Source organism: Homo sapiens, chromosome 13 (genome assembly GCF_000001405.40).
Source record: "Homo sapiens chromosome 13, GRCh38.p14 Primary Assembly".
Classification (NCBI taxonomy): domain Eukaryota; kingdom Metazoa; phylum Chordata; class Mammalia; order Primates; family Hominidae; genus Homo; species Homo sapiens.
The window spans coordinates 32,893,805-32,915,453 of NC_000013.11; the positions used below are offsets into that span (position 1 = coordinate 32,893,805).

A 21,649-nucleotide genomic window follows, 5' to 3' on the forward strand; every position below is an offset into this window, starting at 1 on the left:
ACTGCTCTTCCTAACGTCAATCTGATGTCCCTAACACCGGCTTCCCTGCCTACCTTCAACCCTCTACCTGACGGGCATCTCTGCTGCACCTGCTGTGGGGCACTGGCCTGCCCCTGCTTCCTCTCTCTTGGTCTTTCTGCAACTCCAACTCCTACTTCTCCTCCTATTTCTCTCCCTGTTTCATCTTGGTCCCCTTCGCTGCCTCCTCTTTGTCTTTCCACTCTGTGATTGTTGGTGTTTGGGAGGATTCATTCCTTAGCCCTTCCTCTCTCTGCCTCTGTCCTGGGCACTCTTCCCCCACAAACCCAGAGCCATCTTATTTGTGATACTTTGTGCCACGTGCTGTACAGAGATGAATAAAACATAACTCCCGACCTCACGGCACACACTAGATCTAGAGGGAAAGACAGGCAAGGAAATAAGGAAAAGTAATAAAATGTTAGTGGTTCCATGGTACAAGTTTGGATGATATGGTGGGGGCAAAAATTCATTCTACATGAAAAGGAAGAACAGTCAGAACAATGCCCCATTGGAGGACTTACCATGTTGCATAATAATTAGAAGTGAAGGGTTGTCAGGTCTAAGGTATGCATAATAATGCACACAGAAAATGAATAAACACACACGTGTGTGTGTGTGTGTGTGTGTGCATTTCTGGGCGGGGGATGGGGTGCATGAGGAGGGTTTGGGGTAGCTGAGGCAGAATGGAGGAGACATCTAAGCATCTTGGGTCAGTGCTATTTCCCAATTATATATAAATATTTCTTTATTTTAACATCCTGTACAGCCATACAGGAACATTGCTGCCTTACTCCTTGGACTGGGAATTCCATGAGGACAGACTACATCTTAATCATTTCTGTGACCCTAGCTCTTAGTATAGTACTCTGTTTATAGTGAGTGACTGATAAATGTTTTATGAACTAAATAGAGTGCAATTAATGGCTTAGATTCACCTTTATTCAGAAAAGCAACTCAACTCACAAGAGAACATTGGCAAATGAGTCATGTAGAATAGGTTTGGCTGTGATTACAAATAGCCCCAAATCTTAGTGGTTTATTACACAATGGCTTATTTCTCACGCATATGACTTGTCTGTCGCAAGACATCTGGGGGCTCTGCTACATATCTCCTCTCTCAGGGACCCAGGCTGATAAAATAACCACTATCTGAAACAGGTGGTCAACACTGCAGAGGGAAAAAAGAGAATGTGACAAATTGTGCACTAACTCTAAAAGCATATGCTGGAAAATGAAATGTCAATCTGCTTACATTTCATTGACCAAAGCAAGTCTTATTTGATGCCACATTTTCTTTTATGAAAGACAGTCTTCATAGGTGCAACATGATTGCTAGCTGTGGGCCCCATGCTCTGCTAGGATCTGTCAGGGAAACAGGGATAAGGGAGTGCCCCCGCTCTTTGGAGAGAGGATCACACTATAGTGAGGAAGATGGGTATGTAAACAGGTGTACTGTAATAGGTCTTGCTGGGGGAATGAGCTTTTAAAGGACTGAAAAAAGATTTCTCTTTTCCTTTCTTTCTTTCTTCTTCTTCCTCCTTCTCCTTCTTCTTCCTCTTTTTATTCTTCTTCTTCTTCTTCCTTCTCCTTCCTCCTCCTCCTCCTCTTCTCCTTCTCCTTCTCCCCCTTCTTCTTTTTTGAGTGAGGCTGAAGTGCAGTGGTGCAATCAGAGCTCATTGCAACCTCTGGCCTAACTCCTGGGCTCAAGCCATCTTCCCGCATCAGCCTCTTGAGTAGCTAGGATCACAGGCGCATGCCACCATGCCTAGCTAGTTTTTTAATATTTTATTATTTAGAGACAGGATCTTGCTCTGTTGCCCAGGCTGGCCTTGAACTCCTGGGCTCGAGTGATCTTCCCTCCTTAGCCTCCCCAAGTGCTAGTATTACAGATGTGAGCAGCCACACCCTGCCGAAGAGGGAGTTTCTTCCATAAACTCCACAGGGGTTCAATTTCATGTCAGCTTACCAGCCCCTCATATGGATAGCATACAGGCTTGAGGCCTGTGAACCTCTATATCCAATATATATTTTTGTACTTGTACTAAATAGTACAATGCTTATACTATCAAACATTGCTGGGACTATTTGTTATGTTTCAGTGTCTCCTCTCACCCTCCAGCTAGAGAACAAGGACACCAAGACAAACAGACACAATTCCATTAGGTAGCAATTGGTCTCTGTCACCTCAGTGCCTAGTAATGGTGGTGGAAGGTGGTACTTAATATGAGGATGTACTTGACACATAATGAATGAATGAGCAGATGAATGCATGAATAAATGAATGGCCATCCTTATATTAAGCACCATTCTTGTAGCTTCTCATTTTTGGTTCTTCCAGGAGTCTTCACCTAGCTCCTGTGTACACACCTCTCAGTTTGGACATAGATTTCATTGCCTGTTTTCCCACTTTTCCCCTGCCTTTGTTCTTAGTATGTGGCTCCTGACAAATAGTGTCACTGTGGCCCTTGTCATTGCAGCTTCTGTTTGTCTTCCAGGGTTTCTCCACCTCTCACACTCTCTTGCCCCCTCTGAATTGAGGCCTGATTCACACTGCAGTGTTCATTCTAAGGAGCAAGAAGCAGCTGGAAAATCAACACTGTGTTTTATGTTTGTTGTGTGTACTGAGTTGAATAGTATTCCCCCAAAATTCATGCCCAGCCAGGATCTCAGACTGTGACCTGATTTGGCGATTTGAAATAAAAATGTCAAAGAGACATCTGCACTCCCATGTTTTTTGAAGCACTTTTCACAATAGCCAAGATGTGAAAACAATCTAAGTGTCCATCAATGGATGAATGGATAAAGACAATATGGTGTATAGACATAATAGAATGATAGTCTTAAAGAAGAAGGAAATTCTATCACTTGTCACAACATAGATGGACTTGGAGGACCTTATGCTAAATGAAATAAGCCAGGTAGAGAACAACAAATAAGCCAGGTAGAGAACAAATGCTGCATGTTCTTACTTATATATGGAATCTAAAACGGTTGAGCTTATAGAAGCAGAGGGTAGAATGGTGGTTCCCAGAGGCTGCAGGTTTAGGAGAATGTGGATATGCTGGTCAAAGGCTACAAAGTTTCGGCTAGAGAGGAGGAATAAGTTTAATAGGTCTATTGCACAGCATTGTGGCTATAGTTAATAATAATGTATATTTCAAACTTGCTAAAAGTAAATTTCAAATGTTCTCACCACAAAAAATGAATATCTGAGGTGATGAATATGTTAACTAGCTTGACTTAATCATTCCACATTGCATACCAGTATTATAACATCATATATTATAACATCATATTGTACTCCATTAGTATATTATAAAATTATAATTTGTCAATTTACAAGGACTAAAAAAGAAATGTGATCTTATTTGGAAATGGGGTCTTTGCAGATCAGATGTAATTAGTTAAATTAAGACAAAGTCATACTATAGGAGGATAGACTGTAATTCAACGACTGGTGTCCTTATAGGAAGATAAAACAGGGACACAGACACACACACACATACGCACACACACACACACACACACACACCATTCCACCACCACCAGCAACCATCAGAAGCTAGGAAGGGGAATGGAAGCTGTCCTTAGAGCCATTAGAGAGAGCCTGGCCTCTCTAATGTGAGAAAGTACATTTCTGTGGTTTAAAGCCACTCAGTTTGTGGTGATTTGTTAAAGCAGCCCCAGGAGGCGAATCCATGTTGCTCTTGTCTGGTCTTGCACTGGTAAATGATGAAGCAGCTTCTTTTCCCCACCTGTCTTCCCAGTCCTGGCACCTGGGCAGGTGTCCCAGCCTCCAAGCTTTTGCAAACTGAGAGGGTGAGGCAAGCGGCTTTGCAGTAGTCTTCCCAAAGGTCCTCAGTCCAAACGCCCATTCCCTGCGAGCTCTGCTTCCTCATGATGGCCAAGTTGTCTTTGTTGTGCTCAAGTAAGATCAGATAAGAGCTAAAGGAGAGGCAAGAAAGAAATCTTCCTAGGTCTCTAGAGGTGGGGGCCAAGAAAGAAGGGTCAAATGGGAATTCTCTCTTCCAGCCTTACTCTCTGGGGCCAAGAAGGTGGTTAGTGAAATGGTCAAGGAAGTCATAATAAATGTCCTCGTCCTACAGCTTCTGTTGTTCTTATGGCTCAGCTATCCTTTCCTGTTCTCTACCACCCCCACCCCTCTCCCAGCTACCACAACTCCCCAAATGTAGAATTAGTTCACTCCTATACACTAATGCCAATAGCTCATAGGAGGATGAGTAGCAGCAGTAATGCCAATAGCTAATATTTATTATGAAGTACTTATTGTGTGTCATGCAGCCTATTTAGTGATTTACAAATAGTAACCCCTTTTATCCTCACAACACTCCTATGAGGTAGGTAATATTATTATCCGCACTTTATAGATGACGAAACCAAGACCCAGAGAGGTCACATAACTTGCCCAAGATCAGCTAGCAAGTGGCAGAGGAAGGATTTGAACCTGGCTAGTCAGACTACAAAGCCCCTGTAACCTAATGACTACTATTCATTCCAATTCAACAGACCTTCCACTGTGGCCATAAACATTTCTAAGATATGACTATTTTTAATCTACAAAATGGCAATTTCTTATAGTTCAAACCAACACATACCAAGCATCCTGAGCTAAATTCTGTACGTAACAAGCACAAGATGCCTGGGATCATGTAATTCATTTTCTTCTTTTTCTTAGCATAGCACCTTCAAACATTAGGTCTCATACAATGAGAATTGATTGTGGAGTAAGACAAACTTTGATTCAGATCTGGGCTCTGTTACTTACTGACCATGTGCTTTTATGTACAAGCTATTTCTCTTCTTTGAACTTCAGTTGAACTTCCTCTCCCTTATCTATAAAATGTGGGATATTAGTTCTTATATCCCAAGGTGGCTGTAAGGATAAAATGAAATAATGTATTCAAAAGTATCTAGAGCACGATAAATATTATTGATAGGAAAGGGAGACACACTGCACCCAACATCCAGTAACTTACAGTCAAGAGGAGGGAACAAAGTTATTTGTAAATAATTCTTACACGATGAACAGCTGGCCAACCAGAAGATGGCCCACCAGAAATTAAATTTGGGTTCTTCTCTCACTTGAGAGAAGTTGCCAGCTTCTTCTGTTGTGTGCATCAGTGGACAAATGCACAGAAACAGACCTCCCGGGAAGAAATGATGGAGATGCTACTGGAGGGTGAGCGGTCCCTTTATCCCAGAAGAAGTGTGTAAAATAAGACTTAGTTTCCTGAGTGGCTGAGGCAAAGCCACCTCAGCTCTAGGTATAACCTGTAGCCTAAGGAGTCCAGGGTTTCCTGGGAGGCAAAACAGTGATACTCCAATAAGAGACATTGGTAAACCGAGGGTAGCACTGCAATTCAATTGACATATATATCAAGAAAGGCAGGGTCAGCAGGCTAGAGAGGAACCAGGATGGCAGTCTGGTGGGCCCAAAACATTTCTATTTAAATTATGCTATAATACTATATAAACAAAAATTGCTACAAGTAAGATTTGCCCTCACAATTATTCTCAGAAAAGAGTCACTTATAAGAAAAGTTTCTTATATTTCAGGGCATATACTCAATTATATAATTGTGAACAACAACCTTTTCTCCTCTTTGTTGAAAAGAGCATTAGCCCGAAATAACCTCCTTTAATTCTAGTTTTAGGCACATATGAGTCATCTGATAGAATGAGAGCTGGAGAGAGATTAAATAAATTTTACCAATTGATCCTAGGAGGAATGGCTTCATAATAGCATGGCTTCAATATTGTTTCAAGTAAGCCCTTTAAAGATCACTTAGAGGCCTGGCACAGTGGCTTACGCCTGTAATTTCAGCACTTTGGGAGGCCGAGGCAGGCAGATCACTTGAGGTCAGGAGTTCGAGACCAGCCTGGCGAGCATGGCAAAACCCTATCTCTATCAAAAATACAAAAATTAGTTGGGCTTGGTGGCGCACACTTGTAGTCCCAGCTACTTGGGAGGCTGAGGCAGGAGAATTGCTTAAACCTGGGAGGTGGAGGCTGCAGTGAGCCCAGATCACACCACTGCCCTCCAGCCTGGGTGACAGAGCAGGACTCTGTCTCAAAAAAAAAAAAAAAATTACTTAGTAGAGTGATATAGGATGTGGTTCCACCGTGAAAATCAAGAACATTAAGATTATGCATTGTGTTACTCTATTATCAAGATTATGCATTGCGTTACTCTATTTTCATGGTTGCTGTAACAAATTACTTCAAACGCAATGGTTTAAACAACTCCGACTTATTAGTCCCCCAGTTCTGGAGCTTAGAAGTCCAAAAAGCATCTCACTGGACTAAAATCAAGGTGTCCAGAGGGCTGAGTTCCCTCTGGGGTTTCTATGGAAGAATCCCTTTTCTTGCCTTTTCCAGCTCCTAGAGGCTGTACGCTTGGCTCACGGCTGTCTCTTCCATCTTCAGAGTAGGTTGGGTCATTCTCGTATCACATTACTGTGACCTACCCTTCGGCAGTCTCTTCCACATTGAAGAACCCCTGTGATTACATTAGATGTACCTGGATGATCCAGGATAATCTCCATATTTTAGGGTCAGCTGATTAGCAACCTTATTCCATCTGCTACCTTAATTCCCCTATGCTGTGTAACCTAACATATTCACAGGTTCTGGGGATTAGCACGTAGACATCTTTGGAGGGCCATTATTTTTCCTACCGCGTGCACCTATAAGATTAAAAAAACAAAAATGAAAGGCTCTCTCCTAACATAATGTGAATGGCTACTTGAGGCCTGGGATAAATCCCCTCTGACAGTGCCATGTGTCAAGCAACACATATTACCAGGAAGTTAATCTACTCAGAAAATTCTTAGATGACTCAAAAGTCATTTGTTAGAAATTGACCCTGATGATCAAGAAATATAAAAGTTTGGATAAAGTTGTTGCATAAATGAGAGATGAGAAAAAGCAATATTTAAAAAACAGTATGAGTAGTTCATTAAATATGTTAAGCAGATATTTGACTATTTTTGCTACACCCCTAAGGGTTATGTATTTGAGTTAGCCAAAACACTTATTTTTTAGGTATTTTTATTTAAAAGCCGGATCCTGTGGTATTGGGGTCACCTTATATTTGAGCATATGATAAATATTTGTTTATTATAAAATTAATATAAGATCTAAATAAAAATTCAAATGGTCAGGGGGTAGATAGCAAAAAATAAAATTTTCTATTTGTCTCCTGATCCTATCCACCATTCCATCCTCTAGAAGTAACCACAGTTAACAGTTTCTTATGTGTCCTTCCAGAAATATTCTCTCCTTATAAGCCTAAGTAATCCGACTTTTGTTTATTTCTCTTAACACTCTTCTCCTGTCTCTGTGCTCCCGCCCCACTGCCTGGTTTTGTTCTGCATCATTCCTGAAGCCCCAGGGCCTTTGCACTTTCTGTTTCTCTTCCTGGATGGAATATTTTACCACCAAATCTTTGCATGCTCAGCTCCTCCTTGTCTTTCAGGTATCAGCTCAAAACCTCTTCTTCAGTGAGACTTTTCCTACGCCCATATACTCTCTATCAAATAATTCTGTTTGTATTAGTCAGCTCAGGCTGCCATAACAAAATACCACAGACTGAGTGGCTTACCCAACAGGAACTTATTTTTCTTACAGTTCTGGAGGCTGCAAAGTCCAAGATCAAGGTGCTGGCTAATTTGGATCCCTGGTGAAGGTTCTCATCCTGCTTGTAGATGACTGCCTTCTTGCTGTGTCCTTAAATGCCAGAGAAAGAGCAAGCTCTTTTGTATCTTTTCTTATAAGGGCACTAATCCCATCACAAGGGCCCTCATCTAACTCTGATCACCTCCCAAAGGCCCAATCTCCAAATATCATCACAGTGGGGTTAGGGCTTCAACATAGAAACTTGGGGGGACATAGTTCAGTCCATAGCACTGTTCCACTTCTCATAAACTTATTACTAGTTGAAATTAGCATCTATTTAATTGCTTGTTAATGGCACATATCCCACTATTAGAACATAAACCCCACCAGAGAAGACCTTGTCGGTCTTTCTCAATAGCCCCGGTCTTTGAGCCTCCATGAGCTGTCCCAGAATGGCACCAGCCCTTGAAACAAACTAGTGATTGATTTTACTGACCTATTTGCTAAAAAGACTATCTCACAATGTCTTGACTACTTATAGACTTTGCCATGCTTTCTCCACAACAGAGTAGAAGGAATTATACCAGGATTGATTAGGTGTGGAGAGTGCCCAATGCTGGACACATTCAAGCACCAGCAGTGCTCTTCAGAGCTACGTTGCTCAACTTTACAAAGTGAAGACATTTGCGTGGCTTATGCCTCAAGGCACTGCTCATCTGGCCAGTCATGTGAAAAATGAATGTTGAGGATCTTTCTCTGGCTGCAAGCCTGTATGTTGATGATGAAACAAAAGCTCAGAGAGGATGAATGACAAGCTTGAGGTCTCACCTCTAGGGACAGAAGGAATGGGGGTTGGAATCCAGGTCCCCTGGCTTCCACTGAAGAACATCCTCATGACAGCCCCACTGCCTCTTCTCATTTTAGTTGAATAGCCATCTAAAGCCAGCCTCTGCTCAGATGGAGCCTCCAGTAGTTTGGCATCAAAGGCCATCCTTTGCCATCAAAGGGAAATGAAACAGAAAAAAGTTCCAAATGTGTTCCCTGGTGTGGTGTGTCTGCTCATCGCCTGTGTGGCTTGGCAGAGGCAGCCTGTGTTTGGGGCTGAGAAGACCTTGTTCCCTTTACTAGTTGTGAACATGAGGTTATGGCAAGAAAAACTGAACCAAGAAAGGAGGAGAGGAGTGACTAAAGCTAGGATCATCAATCCAGCTGGTCTGTAGGGCTCATCAGAAATCCACCCTCACTCTGAAGGTCTTCCTCAATTTCCACCATTTCTGTTGAAAACACAGACACACTACTAATGTATTCATTAGAGAATACACTCTTTAAAATTGGCAAGTAAGCAAATGGCGAGCAGGCTGCATTCAGTATCAATTTGTTTTTCGGAGAGTAAAGCCTATAAAGCAGGCAAAAGACGACTTCCTCATGAGTGCTCATTTAAAATGCACACTGAGAAGGAATGAAGCGCAGATTTAATCCAAGGTTTGGGTCATGCGTCGGGGCTTTGGGACGGCAGCACTGCCAAAGTGCCTTCAGATAAACAGACGCTGTGTCTGAAAAGCCTCCTTGGCCATTTGCATTCAGGCACAGTCATGTAAGATTCCTGAGGCCTCTGGCAGGCTCCATGGTGGAAACACCAGCAGGATTGGCTCAGGCCCGAGTCTGGGAGGAGCCAGGCGTTGAGGTCACACTCCTCCTACTGTCCCTACACATGTGGGAAGGCAGAGCTCCACTGCTGGGTGAGAACACTGCTCCTGGTTGCAGGGGCCATGGAGCACCCCACTTAGTGCTGACAGCACCCTATATCCCACATCCACTCACTCTCCACCAAGAACTTCCAAGGCCACCCCACTGTGAACAGAGATATAAGAAAAAAATTGGTGATAGAGGTGGTGGAGGAGAGTAGAGAAGGAAGCAAAAGGAAAGCACAGTGAGTGCGGTTGGGGAGGGTGATTGGGAGTGAATGAAAAAAGGTGGAGCACACAGCGTTGATTGCTTAGTGAGCCAGATCACATCACTGGCCCCACATCATCACTTTTCTTTTTCTTTTGTTTGAGAGACAGGGTCTCACTGTGTCACCCAGGCTGGAGTGTAGTGATGATCATAGCTCACTGCAGCCTTCAATTCCTGGGCTCAGGTGATCCTCCCACTTCAGCCTCCTGAGCAGCATGGACTAGAAGTGCACACCACCACATCCAGATAATTTTTCTATTTTTTGTAGAGACAGGGTTTCACCATGTAGCTCAGGCTAGTCTCAAACTTTTGGGCTCAAGCAATCCTTCCACCTTGGCCTCCCAAAGTGCTGGAATTACAGGCATGAGTCACTATGCATGGCCACATCCTCACTTTTCCTTGGATCCACACTCTGTGCCAGGTGACTTTGCAGCTTCTCCCACTAGTAGGTTTCTCCAGCCCTGATTTCGGGTTTGGCCATACAACTAGCTTTGGCTGATAGAATGAGACGGCGGATGACAGTGTCCTGGTCATGAGTCTAGACCGTAGGCGGCCCTCTATGATCCTGCTTGCACTCCTGTGTCTGGGCTGTTACCATGATAAGAGCATTCCTCAGTAGCCTGCTGGTCCAGAAGTAGGAGGGACACATGGAGCAGAGCCTAGCTCTGTGTGGATGTCCTGGTGATCTATAGTTCTCTGAACAAATTCAGCTGAGAGCAGCAGAACCATTCGACTGAGCTCAGTGGTATCAGCTGACCTCTATGTCCCAGAGAAACACTCAGAGAAATGGGTGCTGTTTTAAACCACAGAGTTTTGGAGGAGGTTTGTTGCACGTTGTTAGTGTGAGAGTTGCAGATACTAGGATGAAATCACTTTTGTCAGACCCAGGCAAAATAGAGCTGGAAGGCCAGATGGAGAGGAGGCTCATGCTTATGTGTCTGGGATAAGAACTATTTCCAGTGACTTTCTAAAAACCTTTGGAGTCCTTCATGCATCTCCTGCTTTGATAAGGTTCATCACCAGACATTCTTTAGAACTGCGGTAATTCACATAACATGTTCTTGAAAGAACATTTGCTCGGTAATGACATCTCCACCAATGAATTGACAAGAACTCTGGCTTCAAACCTCTGGAACCAATGAACTCTGTTTCTAAGCATCTTGTGTAAATCTGTTTTTTTGCTAATAAAAGTCCCCTTACCCTTCCCTCACTGAATGCATTGGTGGCTTGCCATTTCTTGCATTCCAGATTATAGTCTTATCTCTATTCCTGAGTTAACCCAGCATATTTAGAGATAATTTTCTCTGGTGTCTTTTTTATGTAGTTAACTGATATACTTGCCTAACAGCCACACACCTTTCTTTCTTGTGACATAATCCTGTTTTTTTTTTAATGATGGCAATGTTACCATTTGCCAGATAATTTCTCTCTTAGGTTTTCTTTCAGCTTCGGATGACCACAGAATCTAGTTTTGGCCAAGGAGAAATAAAAGGAAATCTTATTTCTGGAAAAGATTTTCCTCCCTGATCCAAAAGCAAAGTCCTTTTCTGCCCATCCCTTTCTTTTCTGCCTGGGCACTGGCATGACTACATAATGCCTGGAACTGTGGAAGCCATCCAGTCACCATGAAATCACAGGTTCAGAGATGAAGGATTTGCACACTGCAGGTGCCCAGACAGAAGGATGAGAAAAGCCTGAGTTCTTGATCACATCGTTGAGCAGCAGACAAATCCTGGGGCCACCTACATCCAGCCTCTCAACTAGGAAACAAGAATTATCTTTATGGTTTTAACCACTGTCTGTTAGATTTTCTGTTGTGGCAGAAAAATGAATTCTTCAGTGGCAAGGGACATGATGAAGGTGGAGGAGAGAATGTGGGTGATAAGTCAGGATGTGAGTCATAGAGCAGTGAAATGAATGTTGTACTGAGAATTAGGAGACCTTTTCCTAATTAGTAGTGTAACCCTGAGTAATTCGCACAACTCTCTTGGCTGCAATGTCTTCTTCTGAGAGAAGAAGGCACGTACCTGGATGATCTCTAAGGTTTTTACAGTTCTAACATTGATTCTGAACTTACAACAAGGGCTCTGGGTGCCATAGCTGGGCAAATATTCACAGAGGATTTTGGGGAACTATTAATTACGTTCAAGGAAAAGATTGAGAATGGTGGTTTTATAGCAAATGCTTAGGTCTGGGCTTGCAGATAATGAGTTTCTTTTTCATTTTTGAGTTTGTGCCTCATGTAAGTGTTACCTGCTCTAGGGTACTTCCATGAGAGTGCTCATTAGATGCCTCATTTACAAAAAACGATTTGCATGCGAGGGGCAAATGCTTCCTCTTTAGCAGCAGGTGTTGTGGGAGGGAGAGAAACATGCTGGCTAATGCCTTGTCATCCAAATTCACAGAAATTTCTGGTATCCTGGGCAGGTTTAAACCATTCTAGGGAGAGAACGAAGGGAACACATCTGAATAAATTAGTCTATTTAGTTTTTGGTTCTGCAGAATAGAGCCTTGGCAGGATCCCAGAGATGCATCAGCAGGGGAAAAATCACGTTATTTTCTGTTCTAGCCAACAGCATTTTCCTGCCCGGACTGTGCAAAATGAACTTGCTTAGCTTTGCAGCCTTCTCCAGCTGCTGCTGTTTCTCTCTGGCCTTCTGGTCACATACGGCCCTGGCTCAGTTAGGTTTATTCAATGCTATCATTTTTCTCCCATACCATTTTTCTTTCATCTCTCTTTGTGCTTCACCACAATGATATTCATTAAGCTCTTTTTCTTCCCTTTCCTCCTAACTTCTATTCTCTCTTCTTTATCATCCCACCTCCCTTTCTCCATCATCTGCTACATTGTGAAAGCATTCTTTGACATTTGCACATCAATATTCCTAAAATCTACCAAGAATTCTGGGGAACACGATTGCTCTGAGGGGGTCACAATTGTCTGATGTAATCATACAAAAGTATTTTTTACCAGCTACTATTTGCTGTTCAAAGAGAAGTTCAAAGCTAGGATCCTGGCATGTTGGATAAAAGTGGAATTTGGAAGAAGGGCTAATCCTAGAGCAGAACCAGGGCAGGGCATTGGAGACCCCTTGAACATGTGAACTACATTTACTCGTAGACATGTTTTACATTTACCAAAGATGACTGCCAAATTCCAGGACACTGAGCTTAAGACTATAAAGGGAGACAAACCACCAAATGCACACCCTTGTCATAGATGGAGCTTTTTTTTTTTTTTTTTTGAGACAAAGTTTCACTCTTGTTGCCCAGGCTGGAGTGCAATGGCACGATCTTGGCTCGCTGCAACCTCCGCCTCCTGGGTTCAAGCAATTCTTCGTGCCTCAGCCTCCCAAGTAGCTGGGATTACAGGCATGCACCACCATGCCTGGCTATGTTTGTATTTTTACCGGAGACTGGGTTTCACCATGTTGGCCAGGCTGGTTTCGAACTCCTGACCTCAGGGGATACACCTACCTTGGCCTCCCAAAGTGTTGATTACAGGCACGAGCCACCGCGCCTGGCCCTGGATGGAGCTTTCATAGAGGAGGAGCAGATGGAGTTGTCAAGGCAAAAATGTCCACTTTCAGCCACGTTTGCCCTAGGAGATATCAAAATCAACATTGTGTCTCCTCCTAACCCATTCTAAGCAGCTGAAATGGACCCAAACACAAAACCCCTACAGGCCCAACCAAAGACTCTTGCTTGACCAATGAATGACTGGATTTGTTTGAGCCAACTGGGTTCAGGCCTTTGGGTTCACTGGGGCCACCTGCAATGCTGGTGTTCAAACCCTAATCTGTGAGCCCTCATTTTCTAGATTGAAAAATCCCTAACTTTCCCCCTCTCTGCTAACTATTCAGTGAATTTCTTTACTAGTGTGTGCTTCCTTGCCTGGAAAGTTAACAAACTTGGTTTTGTGGTTTTTATTTATTTTATACCTCTGGTGGCCTATGTTTTATTATTTTTCAGAATGCAGGCTGTCGGGGAGCCAACTATCACTTAACATCTGGCAGCAGCACAGAAAAAATTCTGAACATTAAGACCAACTGAAAGAAAGCCCCAAACCAAACCAAACCAAACACAACCAAAGCAAACAAAACAAAAAACATAAACCAGTAACAGCAGCACCAACAACATAATAACAGCAAATCTCACTCATCAGACCACCTTGCTGGGAAATGCTACCCAAAATAATTTCCTGACTCAGGTCATTTAAACTTGGAGTTGATTTCAACTGGACTAAGCCAATTTCAATAGTGGTCTAGATTTGAATACTGCTTCTAGATGTTTGTGTGACCTCCTTGTTTGGTTTAGCATTCAAAGTCTAGTAGACTGATAAAGAACCAAGGCCATAGGGCCGGGTGCTGTGGCTCCTGCCTGTAATCCCAGCACTTTGGGAGGTCGAAGCAAGTGGATCACCTGAGGTCAGGAGTTCGTGACCAGCCTGCCCAACATGGTGGAAACCTATCTCTACTAAAAATACAAAAAGTTAGCAGGGCATGGTGGCGGATGTCTATAATCCCAGCTACTTGGGAGGCTGAGGCAGAGAACCACTTGAACCCGGGAGGCAGAGGTTGCAATGAGCTGAGATCACGCCACTGTACTCCAGCCTGGGCGACAAGAGCAAAACTCCATTTCAAAAAACAAACAAACAAACAAGCAAACCCCAAAACAAAACAAAACAAAACAAAACAAAACAACGAACCAAGGCCATAAAGTTGACAAAAATCACTTGTCTGTTACTTTTGAATTATTCATCATGTGTGCAGCACAATCTGGTGAACTTAGGTGGAAGCTGTGCATGTTTGATTTTGTTCTATGAAACATGGATTTGCTCAGAAGAATCCTCCCAGAAGTTTAGTTCACTTTGGTTTGTGGTATTATTAAAGGAACCCAGGAGATTTTCAGTTCTAACTGGTGCTTCTGCAGCACAACTTTCAAATCCTGGGAATTCTGAATCCTGTACGTAGTTCCTCACTGAAAGAAACGTCCAGCACTTTCCCCATAAGTGTACTTTCCTCTTACATCAAGATGCTGTTATGATTTGCTTTCCCCCTCACGGCAAATTACTAATGTACTTCATATTTGAAAAGGGAGTTTGCTGAAAATGTAGCAGAATCTATTTGATGTACATCTTGCTGTAGCCTTAAAGTATTACAACCCAATCTTGTTTCTGCCTCTGGCTGTTCTGATCTTTAAAAGATTTTGGTTTTTAATACAAAGTACATGATGATTTGCATGTACTGAATAAGATTGTGATCCAATGTCTTTGATGGTGGCCTTCCCTTTTATTGCTATCTTCAAGTAAGGTTTATTCAGTGCCTACTGTTCAGGGCTTTATCCTGGGAATATACAAAACGATGTTTGAGTATCTTGCCTCTGCCTTCTAGGAGTTCAACTTAAGCCATCTTACTTCTTCCCTCCCTCAAACGTTTTTAACAGGCAGAAAAATGAACATAAGAGGAATTCTTCAATAATTTAAGAGACAGGCCAGAACAAAGGCTCCTCCAAAGAATGAATGTTTAATGGCATGTTTCCAGAATGTAGGCTGCAGGAGAATGTGCACCCGGGGTGGGAGTAGATCAAAGGAAGGAGGTTAAATTATGGTTTATTTCTCATCCTTTTGTAGAACTCTTTCTGCAAGACATAGTTTCTTGGAGGATGTACCAGTTATCAATTGCTGTATAACAAGCCACCCTAAAACTGAGTGGCTTAAAAAGCACAGTGATTTATTATCTCTAAGGATCCTTGGGCTGGAAATCTGGGTGGTTCTGTTACTTGTCTTGCCTGGGCTCACTTACTGGCTGTCGTCACCTGGGAGTTTGGGGCTGAGGGTCTAAGATGGTATCACTTACTGTCAGCAGATGGTGCTGACTGTGAGATGGGGTGTCTCTGTTCTTTTTCACACAGTCTCTTATCTTCCAATAGACCAGAATGGACTTCTTCACAGCATGGTGGTCTCAGGGTCCTAAGACCTAGCCTCTAGAACTTGCATGGTGCTACTTCTGCTACATTCTATTGGTCCAAGTGGGTTTCAAGGACCTTCCAGATTCAAGAGGTGGAGAAATAGACTCCATCTTTTAATGGAAGGATCAAAGGGACATAGACCCAGAAAGCCATGATTCACTGTCATTATTATAACAATCTGTCACAACAGAACAGGGGTCAGATGAATGGGGATGAGGGGAGGGCTAGAAGATGGGGGGACAATAATCTAAGAACTGAAGACAGAGACTTCCTTTAGAATCTTTGTTCCTGTCTGCAATTATAGGATTTTCATGTGTCAGCAAAGGATAGGTTGTCTCTAGTTATTTGTTTCTGGGGAAATAGGCTCAAAGGGATGTATTAGTGAAGGAAAAATAATCAATGCTAGCAATTTTATTAATGTTTGGCACTTGGGGAAAATATGTAAAATGGAAAAGCAGAACAAATAAGAATACCAAAGAGATGTGGGGAGGTTATGTACCCAGATGCAAGTACACTAAAACAGAAGATTTTATCAGGAAATTATATATACATTATATGCTATATGTATATATTTAGCATACACATGAAATTCTTTCTTCTATAAGATAAAGTCAACTTAGGGTTGAAGCTTTTAAAGGTGGTTTTCCTTTTTATAGCCCTGCAATTTAGGCAGGCCATCACAGGGCAAAAGACATGTGGGTCCTTTTATTCAAGTCTCTTAGAGTCACATTCATGAATTTCTTATACATAGTCAGGAAACATGTAACCCTTTATTAAAGGAATTTAACCTAAAATCCACTATAAACTCGTTTTTTTAAACGTGACTTTTAGAAAAAATTCTCGTAGCACATTGTATACCTTTCTCATCAATCTTAAACTTTTCCTTATTCATTTTCTCTGAATCTAAAATCAATAGTCTTTCCAAGCAGTTTCTGTCTTAGCAGCTACTATCATTTGTCTGTTGAAGCCACAAGAATACTTCAGTCTTCCTTCCGAGGTTAGTGGACTTCATTAAAGAAATAGCTTTAGTTTTCTTTCCAGCATGCCATGTCTCTATTTTCTTTATCATGCGGAAGTGAAAAAATGTCAAATAAAAGAGGAAAGAAGTCACAGAGATCATAGTTGTGTCTTTATCCACTGCTAGTTGACCCTTGAATTTATTTTTGCAGAACTTCCTCATCTTTTCCTCCTTTTAATTGATTTCTCTAACCAGAGCTAGTATGAGTCTGAATGAAACATAGGCAGCTTACATTTTCTCCATCCGTCATAATCGATAACCACTTCCTTATAAGCTGTCGTAACTTCAGGCTTCTATGGCAACTTTCTTGGTGGACCTACAAGAATTTTTAACAGTTTGAAAACCAATCTTAAAGGTTAGAAAGGGTGACTCACACCACTTTTATTGTATAAATGCCTTCTTTATTCCTTGAGCCAGGACAACTCAAGTAAATCAGGAAATAGGCAAGAAAACAAAAATCACTCATTTGGAGATGATTACTCTGAAATATATGTCTTAACTATGCCCCACACTGAGACATCTTTTTGAAAAGTGTTCTAGTTAGTTCTAAATGAACTTACCTAATTCTCTTTCCTCCACAGCCCTCAGATAACACAAGCAATGGCCCTTCTCACTCACCAACTCAAGCAACGGTGCATCTCCACCTGGTATTGTGGTGTGGCAGGTCTATGTGGCAAGGGTTTTGTCTCCGTACTCTGGGTGAAGGTGTTGAAGATGATCCTGAGGCCTCAGTTCTCTGGAGGGAGTCTTGCGGGTAGTTAACTTCTGCTGAATCTCAGTATAGCAGTGCAAGGTCAAAACCCAAAATGCGCTCAATCTTGAGTTGTTGAAGTTGGATGAAAAGTGAAGTCATTATTGGGCATGACATCTGGTGTTTCAGTCCCAAGGCCACAAGCAGAATGTTACAATCTCTGAAGCTTAATGATTTTGCATTTCATGTAGCAGCTTAAGTTTTTCACAGCCTGAACTCAATTAATTTTCACAGCCCACTGTGGAGGTGGAGAGGGAAGTGCCATATATTTTTGCAGTAGGTGTGATAACCTGTCATTGATCACTCATTTGATGAACACCAAAACTTTGCCTGCACTTCTGGGAGGACAAAGAAGCCTCCTAACTGTCTGGTCTGTGGATCAGGTGCCGCAGGTCCTCTGCTCTAGACTATCAATCTTTTCAGCTGGTCATTTGGAGGGCATTACAGGGCAAACCATGCGCAGTTGAGACCAATTGCCTGTGCCCATGGGCAGAACTGTCTGTTGATGGGCAGAAAGGACAGCTCTAGATAACAAGCATGTGAACAACACCCCCTGGTGTTGGTGAGGATGGATCAGCAGGCATAGACATAAACTGCTGTCAGGGCTGTAACAGGAGCAGGCTTTCCTACCAACAGTGCTCAGGCAATGGAGTATCAGTGTGGTGATATATCATTATTCTAATTGGCTGTTTGGGTTTCATTGTATGGGTATGCTATAATTTATTTAATCAACATTTAAGTTGTTTCCAATTTTTCACCATTACAAAAATGCTTAATGACCAGACTTGTATATCTTTCTCTGTCACCTTGACCCATTATGGCTTCGGGGGAAAAAAAATCCCACGAATGGAATTGTTGATTCAAACTTTAAAATACTAATACATAGGGTCAAGTGACCATCTAAAAAGTTGTGTGCTAAGATTATAAATCAATTACCTAAGTTTTATTTCAGTACTTTAATAAAAATGTATATTTTTATGTCTAGGTATTTGCTCCTTCTGAAGCTTAATTTGGGCATAGAGATTTGTTATTTCTATTTTTTCCAAATGATTAGTCAGTTTATCCAACCCATTTTGTTGATAGTCCACCTTGATCATATATCAAGTTCTCACACACACATGAGTCTGTTTCTGAATTATGGATTCTGTGCTATTGGGCTTTCTGTTATTATATAATGGTTTAATGTTTATACTTGTATGCTTATAATATCCAATAGGACAAATGCTCTCTCATTAATTTGCCTGGCTATTTATGCATGCTTATTCATTCAGAAGAAATTTGAAATAAATTTTTTTCCATAACAAAGAAAAAAGTCCCAAATGATTTTTGATTTGGATTTGCATTAAATTTAGTTTTATTTCAAAGAATTGTTATTTTTACAATATATAGTACATGTTAAAAAAGAGGATGTAGTTTTCCCTGCAGTCAAACATCTTATGTTTCTCAATAGAATTTTCTTATTTTCTTCACATGTCATGCACATGACTTATTAAACTGTATTCCTAGCAGTTATATATATATAAAACTATATATTATATTTATACATATGTGTTATAAATGTATTCCTAGGAGTTATGCATATATATAAAATACAGTTACACACATATAGCTCTATATAGATAATATTTACAGATAGATAACATATATAGTAATATATAGATAATATTTACAGATAGATAACATATATAGTAATATATGTTATATATTTATATATGTTATAGCTGTATTCCTGTATATATGTTATAACAACTGTACATATGTTATAACTATATTCCTAGGAGTTATATATAATATATAAACTATTATACATAAAATATATATGTAGCTCTATATATAGAAATATATATATATAAAACTATATGTAATATATATAACTCCTAGGAGTACAGTTATAACATATATATAATATTTATATGTATAAGTTATACATATATTACATATATTATCTATTTGGTAGAGATGGGGTTGCCCAGGCTGGTCTCAAATTCCTGAGCTCAAGCAGTTCTCCTACTTTGGCCTCCTAAAGTGTTGGGATTACAGGCATGAGGCACCATGCCTGGCCTGGAATTTTATATTTTTTGATTTTATAATTCAAGGGATTCCCCCACTCCCAGTTATAGGTCTCTAGCCTGCTCCACTGGAGTCGGCTAATCTGCTTGGCCCCTGGTTGTGCAGTCATCCGGGAGCTCCACTCAGGACTTTGAACTGACACCTGCAAGGGTCGGCGGAGTGAAGAGGCTGGGCCAGGCCCTCTGCCTTCTCCTCTTCCTCCTTCAGTCCTCATCCACCTCTGGTTCCAGTGTGTGGAGCAGGCTCTGTTGTCCTAGTAAATAAAGAAGAATCAACCAACTTCACAAAACCCCCCAGAAGTGACCAGCCATAAAAATATAAGCTTATTCCAAATACCTGGGACCCTGTACCTGGAGTCGTCTGCCACAGGGCAGGTCAGATGTCCCATGGCCGAGGGCTCAGGAGCTGTGGCTGGCGGCTGGTAGCAGCACTGGCTTCTTACCTTGGCCGTGGCCCTAAGTTCCCACATGTGGGAAGTCAGCCTAGTGTGCCATGTGGGAAGTGTCCAGGTTCTTCCTGGGGACACTCTTCTGCCTACATATGTAAAGAGACAGATTTCTGGGGTGAGAAAGGCAGCTCCAGCTTTTAGAGGAGCCAGGAAATCTCCCCAAGGCTCTGACCTGAAGAAAGAACACTCTCTAGAGAACAAGGGAGCTCAATCTTTTTTTAGTTCTGATTTCTATCTCCGTCATTAAAAATCAAGCTTTAAAAATAAGACCCTATCCATTATGTTTTAATAATCATCACTCGGGCTTAAAGTGACTAATAATAAAAGGTTTTTGTTTAAATATTAAACACTAATGGTTTTGTTCTGCTCTTGAGAACTGGAGGCAGACAGTTGAAAATGGGTTCACAGTGTGCCCTGGCCCTGGGGTCTGGGCTGATGACTAAGGTGACCCCTGGGAAATGGCACCTGTAATCGGAGGCTTGACTGTCTCCCACACTACCCTTACCTTGGCCCATGTCACAGTCCCAGGCTGCCTCCTCGCTCTGGCAGCAGTGTGGGGCTTCCCAAAAGGCTTTTGCCTTTTTGTTTTCCCAAATGACCAATGGATCTTTTAGAGAGGAATCTATTGTCAATTGCTTCCTTTTTTTTTTTTTTTTTTGATGCTACAAGACTACTTTGAAGCTCAGAAAGCCAAATCCTTGATCTTAATAATAGTAGCTATTATCTGGCACTGAGCTGAAGCTTTATATACATTATGCTATTTAAAGTTTACAAGAACCCTGAAGGATACACAATATTTTTCCTATTTTAAGTATGAGAATTCTGAGGCTTAGAAATTTTAAATAGCTTTCCAAGGACACCAGATTGTAAGCAGTAGAAGGAAGATTTGGAATCAGTTTTTATCTGATTCCAAATAACATGCTCTTTCCATTGCCCTAACTCACATAACTAGATAATAATTACATAATGGGTGTAGCCCTCTTGAGACATAATTTTACTTTTATTGGACAAACCTCTTTTTTTTTGAGTGAATGGTATTTCAGGGATGATTTCAGAGCATGAGCAACTGGGCATAGTGGCATAAACATAGTAGAAAATACACTGGGCTTCACCATGTGCCAGCCATTGTTCTGAGTATTTTGTAAAGATTAAATCATTGGATCCTCACAACCATGCCATGATGTAGTGTTTCAGCATGTTCAGGCGACTATACCAAAATACCATAGACAGGAGATGGCTTATAAACAACAGAAATGTATTACTCACAGCTCTGGAGGCTGGGAAGTCCAACCTCAAGGTGCTGGTGGATTTAGTGTCTGGTGAGGGCTTGCTTTCTGGTTCATAGATGGTGCCTTTACTGTGTCCTTGCATGGTAAAAGGGGAAACAAGTTCTCTGGAGTTTCTTTTATAAGGACATTAATCCTGGTTATGAGGGCTCTGTCCTCATGGACCTAATCATGTTCCATAGGTTCTGTCTCCTAATACCATCCCCTTGGAAGGTAGGATTGCAACAGAGGAAATTTTGGGGGACATAAACATTCAGACCATAGCATGCAGGTTCCGTTACTATCCCTCCATTCTACAGTTGAAGCACAGAGATGTTAAGCAAATTGTCTAATGTCTGATAACCAGCAAGTGGCTGAGCTGGGATTTGAACCCAGACAGGCTAGATGCAGAACCCTGTGCTCTTAACCATGTATATAGGGCCTCTCTAACCAAGACAAGGGAGGCTATAGGAGGAGGCTTCATGGTGGGGTGAGGACCAGTGGTTAAGAGTTCC

General features: G+C 41.7%; 1 long non-coding RNA gene across 1 annotated transcript in view, besides 1 other annotated feature; it reads right to left on the reverse strand.

Annotated features, from left to right (window-relative positions):
• LINC00423 (long intergenic non-protein coding RNA 423) overlaps nucleotides 1–17,848 on the reverse strand; it is a 102,463-nt gene extending 84,615 nt beyond the window's left edge. Inside the window, exons 1-3 of the long non-coding RNA NR_047020.1 lie at nucleotides 17,219–17,848; nucleotides 16,833–16,916; nucleotides 13,090–13,213 (exon numbers count right to left, since the gene is read on the reverse strand). This is a non-coding gene — a long non-coding RNA (long intergenic non-protein coding RNA 423). The remainder of the gene's footprint in view (nucleotides 1–13,089; nucleotides 13,214–16,832; nucleotides 16,917–17,218) is intronic.
• Nucleotides 11,484–11,563: an enhancer, noted in NCBI's record as "active region_7566". NCBI's record gives its function as "activates an Ori minimal core promoter by ATAC-STARR-seq in GM12878 lymphoblastoid cells {active_cell/tissue: GM12878}" and the evidence as "EXISTENCE:reporter gene assay evidence [ECO:0000049][PMID:35858748]".
• Nucleotides 17,849–21,649: the final 3,801 nt, after the last annotated feature.